The 7,904-nt window shown below is 43.9% G+C and overlaps 3 annotated features.

The window, feature by feature from the left end:
* Positions 2,843 to 3,137: a silencer, noted in NCBI's record as "tiled region #8876; K562 Repressive non-DNase unmatched - State 21:Repr". NCBI's record gives its function as "represses a minimal TATA promoter and a strong SV40 promoter by Sharpr-MPRA in K562 cells {active_cell/tissue: K562}" and the evidence as "EXISTENCE:reporter gene assay evidence [ECO:0000049][PMID:27701403]".
* Positions 5,294 to 6,210: an enhancer, noted in NCBI's record as "H3K4me1 hESC enhancer chr9:98431260-98432176 (GRCh37/hg19 assembly coordinates)". NCBI's record gives its function as "activates a minimal SCP1, AML or CMV promoter by ChIP-STARR-seq in primed H9 embryonic stem cells {active_cell/tissue: H9 hESC(primed)}" and the evidence as "EXISTENCE:reporter gene assay evidence [ECO:0000049][PMID:30033119]".
* Positions 6,211 to 7,126: an enhancer, noted in NCBI's record as "H3K4me1 hESC enhancer chr9:98432177-98433092 (GRCh37/hg19 assembly coordinates)". NCBI's record gives its function as "activates a minimal SCP1, AML or CMV promoter by ChIP-STARR-seq in primed H9 embryonic stem cells {active_cell/tissue: H9 hESC(primed)}" and the evidence as "EXISTENCE:reporter gene assay evidence [ECO:0000049][PMID:30033119]".

Raw genomic sequence — 7,904 nt, forward strand, 5'->3', positions numbered from 1 at the left:
AGGCACGGGATACACCACTTAGTGCCCATTACACAGTAATGAAGGTGAAGACCAGAGGCACCCATAGCTCATGGCAGGCTTGGGAATAGAAATAAAAATTCCTAGATTCCGGAGCTGAGCCAGAAGGCGGTAGATCTCAGATGTGTGAGAGTCCTCCAGGACTTAACAGGCAAAGTCAGGAAGTGAAGTGGGCTGAGTCTTCAGCAATGATGTTCCTCCCTCTCCTCCCCGCATGTCCCCTTCCCTCTAGGGCCTGCGTCTCTGCTTTCCTCCTCAGCACCAACACCTGGACTCCAATGTGCTTACTGCCCAGCCTGGACTTCCCAGGGCTCCTCCTTTCTCAGCCCCTCGGGTCTGCCTTCTCCTTCCTGCACCTGGTTCCAGGCTGGGACCTGCTCACGGGGCTCTGGCCACTGTCTTTCTGTTTCACGGTGGAATACACCAAGCTTGTTCCAGCCCCGGGCCTTTGCACTTGGAGTTCTCTCTTCCTGAAATGCTCTTGCCTCTAGTCCAAATGACACTTTCTCAGAGTAGAACCTGCAACGTAATTTTTAGGGCACAGTGCAAAATGAAAATGGGAGTCCCTTGTGTAAAAAGCAGGGAATTAGCTTGTTTCTTTCTTCTGCAGTCTCTCTTGTCTGTCATAGTGTTTTTTTGATTAATTGATTGAGACGGGTTTTGCTCTGTTGCCTAGGCTGGAGTGCAGTGGCGTGATCACGGCCCACTGAAACTTTGACCTCTCAGGCTCAAGAGATCCTCCTAATCTCAGCCTCCTGAGTAGCTGGGACCACAGGTTTGTACCACTATGCCCAGCTAATTTTTAATTTTTTCGTAGAGACGAGGTCTTGCTGTGTTGCCCAGGCTGGTCTTGAACTCCTGAGCCCAAGTGATTCTCCCACCTCAGTCTCCCAAAGTGCTGAGATTACAAGTGTGGGCCACTGCACCTGGCCTATTGAAAGGTGAAGCCAGCTGGACTTCCTGGGTCAAGTGGAGACTTGGAGAACTTTTCTGTCTTACAAGAGGATTGTAAAATGCACCAATCAGCACTCTGTAGCTAGGATTGTAAAACCCACGAATCAGCGCTCTGTAGCTAGCAAGGGGATTGTAAAATGCACTAATCAGCAATCCATAAAAACGCACCAATCAGTGCTCTGTAGCTAGCAAGAGGATTATAAAATGCACAAATGAGCACTCTGTAAAACACCAATCAGTGCTCTGTAAAATGCACCAATCAGAACTCTGTAAAACACACCAATCAGCAGGACTCTAAGAGTAGCCAATCACAGGGAGGATTGAAAAAAGGGCATTCTGATAGGACAGAAACAGAACATGGAAGGGGACAAATAAGGGAATAAAAGCTGGCTACACCCAGCCAGCAGTGGCAACCTGCTGGGGTCACCTTCCAGGCTGTGGAAGCTTTGTCCTTTTGCTCTTCACCATGAACCTGGCTACTGCTCGCTCTCCGGGTCCGTGCCATCTTTAACAGCTGTAACACTCACTGCGAAGATCCCCGGCTCCATTCTTGAAGTCAACGAGAACACAAGACCACGAACCCACCCGCAGGAACCAGCCCCGGCCACACTATCATGGTGTTTTAAATTAGCTATTCATTGCCATGCTTCCTGGGGCACAAGATACTTCTGGGGCAAATACAGACCTTCCCAGGCTCTTGGGAAATACACTGAACCTGTCCCACCTGGCACTGGTGCCCCTTCAGGGTGCAGAGGACAGTTACAGTTGCTGGGCAGGTGAGGCAGGAGGTGGCTGAGAACCTGTCATGGGGTACTCCTGGAGCATGTGCCATTGTCCCATCAGAGGCCACTTACAAAACACAAAATCAAAGATAAAGTTATTAAGAATTTCAACATGACTGCTGAAGAGTTTCAGTCTCCACATGCGAGGCTTCTTTTTTTTTTCTTTTTTTGAGACGGAGTCTCTGTTGTCCAGGCTGGAGTGCAATGGCATGATCTCGGCTCACTGCAACCTCCGCCTCCTGGGTTCAAGCGATTCTCCTGCCTCAGGCTCCTGAGTAGCTGGGGTTACAGGCATGCACCACCACCTCTGGCTAATTTTTTTTTTTTTTTTTGTATTTTTAGTAGAGGCAGGATTTCACCATGTTGGCCAGGCTGGTCTCAAACTCCTAACCTCATGATCCGCCCGCCTCGGCCTCCCAAAGTGCTGGGATTACAGGCGTGAGCCACCGCGCCCAGCTGCGAGGCTTCTTTTGAATGTGGGACCTTATGCGACCATGCGAGCCACATGCCTGTGAAGCCAGCCCTGTCTCAGTGACCCGCTTTGATCCCCTTATCCAAAATAGCCCTATTCCATCTAACTGCAAAAGTCACACCCCATCACACCTCCCTGTTTTATGTCCTTTAGACAAAATTAGGTTCTGAAATGATCCCTTTAACCTGTTGTCTGTTTTTGTTGTCCACCGCGAAAGTGTAAACTTCATGAAAGCTTGTCCTAATTGTCTCCATGCCTAGGGCAGGAACTGGTACATGTAGACCTTCAATAAATATTTGTTGATAGAGTAAATAAATGTAAAAGGGAATTTATTGCGGATAGTTGTCGATAAACTTGCTGTTTCTCCTAACTCATGCACTCTGGCAATGCGACAGAACCGCCCGACGGGGCACTGTTTGGTCCTGTATGTGGAGTTACCAGACAGGACCTGGATGCTCTGGCCCATACGGAGTCCATCAGAAGGCCAGCTCCGGCTTTCTTTTGCTTTGAGGCTTGTCCTTGAGTTGCTCCAGGCAACTCAAGGGGTCTCATCTCCCTGCTGCCTTCTGCCCTGGATCATCTGTACCCTGCCTTTGGGCTGGGATGAAAGGAGTGCAGGGAGACCCAGGTCTCCTGAGAGACCTGTTCTTTCCTGGCTCTCAACACGGTGGCTAAGCTTCCCCATAACACTTGTCCCTCCCCCTCTCTGTCTTTCTCCCACAATCCAGGAGAATCTGCCTGCCCGGGGCACCCAGCCAGTTACTGTGACAATGACCTCCCATGAAGCTGAGCAATTGCCACTAGCCTGCAATTAGCTGAATTTTTGGAAAGCCCCTGTGTGTACCAGGATCCCGGAATGAATATGAACACTGTCCCATCAGGCTGAAGTCTAAGGGGCTTCAGCATTCTTGATTAAAAATATACATATATTGACTCCAGTACTCATAACAAGTATGCCATTAACAGAGGCTAGGAAACTTTTTTAGTTATGCAGAGCTTTTGCACTAAAAAACAACGCAGTGTGAGGTCCATAATAGGAGGGAGAGGGAAGTGTGGCTTCAAGAGAATGCAAACAGCCCCATTGCAGAGGCACGATGGAGGAACTCGGAGACGCAATAACAATCCTCTCTTTTTAAAAGCAACTTTGGACCTTATTTTTCTAACAAAAGTAGCAATATTTTCAGAAAATTCCCTTATATCATGTGTGTGTGTGTGTGTTTCAATTTAAATGATGGTTTTGGGCATTTTCTGTGGCTATTCCATTTGACTAGACATATGAAGCCAAACTGCGTCTGTGGCATGCATAAACATGATCTTCTCCTGCTTTTAAAAGAAAGAAGTATTAATGGCTTCTAATCTTCCTGAAGCAATATATTTATTTATTTTCCTAACAAAGTATATAAGTGGAATGTGCTATATCTGTACATATGTGCTGACTTTTTTTTTTAAGTAAGCTTTTCAAAGAGCCAACATCTGGCTTTGTTGATTTTCTGTATGTTTGTTTTCTATTTCTTAGTTTCTGTCTTTATCTATATTTCTATTATTTGCCTTCCCCTACTGTGGGTTTAATTTGCTCTTATTCTGGCTTTGTAAGGTGGAAACTTAGAACAGTGATTTAAGACTTTTTTCTTTTTTAATACAGACATTTAAAAGAATAAATTTTTCTCTAAGGATTGTGTAGGGTGCATCCTACAAACTTGGACATACTGGGTATTTATTATCAGTCAGTTTGAAATATTTTCTAGTTCCTTAAAGACTTCTCCTTTTTTAAAAAACGGTATGTGTTATTTGGAAATGTGTACTTAATTTCCAAATACTTAGCTATTTTCTAAGTATCCTTTCTTAAAACATCTTATTGTTACTGATTTCTAATTCAATTCCATTGTGGTCAGATTTCAAGCTACTGAAATTTACTGAGATTTGTTTTCTGACCCAGCATGAAATGTGCATTTTTAGTGAACTGCCTCACCAGTTTTTATCTTTAAATTTTACTTCAAAATTATCTTCCCTCTTTAAATTTAGCCTGGAAACTGATACAAATGTGCATACTAAGACAAGGAACAAATAATGCCAACTCAGGCTTTATCTCTGTTGGAAAAATCTGTTTACTTTGCAATTATCAGAGATTGGCAGGCCTCTTCTAAAATGTTCCCTGCAGGGCACGGATTTAAAATACTCTCTCCTGAAATCAGGTGGCAAAGACAAGAAAAAATTATTTACTTCTGTCTATGGTTTTTAATGAATTACCTCTCAGAGGCAAGGGGAATTGGACGGGTCTCGGCATAGTTTGAAGACTAGGGTTTGTCCTTGTCTCTCAGTATTTAAGGGTCTGTATTATTTCCCCACCATAGTTTCCACTTCTTTGACCTTCCCAGTGCTCCACAGACTCGGACATGAAACACACTTAGCAAATTCTATTTAATTGAGTAATGAACAGATATTGAGCATCCTCCGGCAGTGAAATCTGAAATAATGGCATTGAGAAAACAAATGTATGAAAATGGACATTCCCCACTGAACACTGCAATGATATCATTAATGAAATTGATATATTGGGTGTTGCCAAGTCACTCAAGTGGCTGTTAATAAATACTAGAGCTTTTACGAGAATACAACTTCTTTAAAAAATGCAATCCTAAAATCAAGTCCCCAAATTTTAACATAAATGTAGTCGGAAGGTTTCTTTATGAATTAAGAAGTAAAGTGTTAAATAGTATAAAATATAACAAAAGGCAGATTTGATGGGAGGTGGGAGGTAGTGGAGAGGAGCTTTCTCTTTTACAGGTGTTTGATGTATTTACATGGATTGGTGGATTAAAAGAAATGCCTGCAAGACAGTTTTATCCTGGTGATTAAATTTAATCTTGTACGAAAAATGGTGTGCCAATTATGTATGTTTTGTTATGGCTTTGTTTACCAGATTCGAGAAGAATGTGTTGAATCAGTATATTTCATTTTCAAATCAACCAGTGGCATGTAGCCAAGATAATTTGCTGAAGGTTGGAGTTGTTCTGTTGTTACCTGGCTATTTTGGTGGTGTGCTGTGCTTAGCAGATTATTTTATACATAGTAGCTACTTAGTTAATATCACTTAGATTTAATTGATTTTTTGGTAGAGCTGAAATGAATGTTCATTTTTTATTAGATCGATTTATATTTAGAATCAGCAGCTAAAGAACTAAAGAATACAGAATAATGTTTCTTCTGTGTCAACCCTGTTCCTATTCCCTGCCACTTCACCAAGCCTCGTTTTTCTGCACACCCTTGCTCAAGCCCTTGTAGACTGTGAACTCTCTTGGGTGACCCCTGTGCCTTCTGTTTCTGGGACCCCGGATAACCCGGGCTCCCTGGAAGGAGACCCTGAGGAGATTTGCCAGCAGGAGGTTTATCGGGGAGTGCTTTTGGAAAGAAAACTCAGAAAGGAGTGGGAGAACAGGATGAGACAGAGGGAGAAGCTGAAATGCCACACAGCTGCAGCCACGGGCAGGGCTGATCTGCTGGGATCCTGGAGCCCGGAGGGCTGTTCCCGAGCTGCACAGGATCGAAGCCACAGGCCCTGCTTTTGTATCCCTGTCATTGGTTTCAGGCTGCCTCTGGGGATGGGTTGTTACTTTGGAGGGGACAACTCCCTTTTGCCAAAGGCTTTTCCAAAAGAACAAGTGAGCTGTGAGTCTTCAGCAGCAATGATCTGGCAGCTGGGAGAGTGAGCACCGCCATCATGAAGGGTGGCCACCACGGTGCCCCCGACACCTACAAGGGGGAGGCGGGGGCGGGGGGCAAGTTGAGGAGGGTGAGAGGGGAGGGACAGTCAGGGGAGTGGGTACCGTGACACGTCCTGGACTCTGAGCGCTGAAGAGGAAAGAGGGATGGGGGGAAGGGTCAGTGGGTTGTGGTTCTCGGGGAGAACGGGAGGATGGAGTCCTGCAGCTACCGCTGGGAATGGAAGGGAGGCCCAAGACCGGTGCGTGGGGTCGGGGGAGGCTGGAGGAGAGTGAGGGAATGGGAAAGATCCCCCATAGTGACAGTAAGATCCCAAACTTATGGTTTTGAAAGTTACTAAAATGCTTTAAAAATCACTTCACATGCTTTTTACTGTTCTTATTTGTGTTTTGAAAAAGTCATAAGGGAAGGGAGGGAGATAATGAATTGAATACATGTTTTGTTTAAAACAAGACAACCAGTTTAGTCAGATTTTAGGTCTTCAAGTGAGATTTCTTAGAATAAAGAAGCTCTTTCCATTGGAAGGCTGTGCCCTCATCCTTTAAAAAATGTTTGTGACTGTGGCGCAGCCGCTGTTCCTTCGGAGCTCTCTCCGAGCCTAAAGCAATCTGTCCAGACACTCATCTCTGCTCGATCCGGTGCCCTTCTCCTTGGGAGGTGCGTCTGTAACCATCTGCACATGGCGCTGCCTTCTGGGCTGCCTCGCTGCGGGCCAGGTGTGGCCGCCAGATGTCTGACCTCCTCTCGGGGAGAGCGCAAGGACCACCTCTTCTGCCTGGAGGCTTTTCGCTTTTTGTGTCATTCTCCAACCTGAATTTGGCTTCCAGCTACCAGGAGACAGCCAACTTTGATCACGCTCTGCTTAGAGAACCCCATTAAAAATCAGCAAGTGCTGTAAATTTCATTTGGATAAAGCATTTTAAAGGCTAATGGATGAAATTGAATGCAAGAAATGTATTCTAATTTCTGTCCATTTCTGAAAAAAAAAATTCCACTCCTAGTTCATACTTATTTCTAGTGATCTAGAATCCTCTGGCCTTCGGTGTCGATTTCTGTCATTTTCATTTCTGGGTCTAACTTTTCAGTTTTTTTTTCTCCTACATTGAGTTTTTTCACCAAGTAATCTCCATTTTAGATGATAATCTTTTTTTGTGCCTGTCCTTCTTCCTCCTTCCAGTTTTACATCCTGATTTTTCGAATTCCCTTTCCTGAACAATTCCCATCTTAGGCTTTAGCTCCATATTCAAGACTTTCTTTTTCAAATGAGTCTTGGAATGCCTTGTGGCCTTCCCAAAGCGCTATTGAGATAGTTTGCCCTTGCAGTTAAGAGGCCTCCAGGTGTTTCGAGGCCATCTCTAGAGTTTGCAACTGTTTTTAGTTCAATAAATGGAAACATTGTAAACATGTAAAGTTCAGTTTGCACATGGAGTTCATGTTGCTTGGTCTGATTCTCGTGCTTCCCCCATTACTTTGGGGACCTTAGGTGGATAGTCATTAATATCATCATCATCCATCACCACAAATGCACTGTTTCCTCATTGTGTGGGGAAGAATGGGAGGATCTTTATCCTAACAGCACATACCATATCCCATATCATGCCCTATTGAGTACTACTGTCAAACTCACAGAAGGTGGACCTTTGTCTCTAGAATTCCAGGATTAATTTTGCAAGTAGAGTTGTGAACATATGTATTTTCTTAATTATTCAATTAACTAACATTTTAAAGCACTTCTGTGATTATAAAGTGAATAAAGGTTAATTGCAGAACAATTGGAAAATGATGAAAAGTATAGAGAATAAAATAAAATTCACCCATAATTGCATTGACTGGAGAGAATCACTCTTAAGCACTGGGCTATTGCTTTGTAGTCTTCCTTGGATAAAGCTTGTAAACTTTTGTTCTCTTCACATTATGAAAAGTTTCTCATATCTTTAAAGGTAAGATGATTTTACAAT

The sequence above is a fragment of the Homo sapiens genome, chromosome 9 (genome assembly GCF_000001405.40).
Source record: "Homo sapiens chromosome 9, GRCh38.p14 Primary Assembly".
NCBI classification, from domain to species: domain Eukaryota; kingdom Metazoa; phylum Chordata; class Mammalia; order Primates; family Hominidae; genus Homo; species Homo sapiens.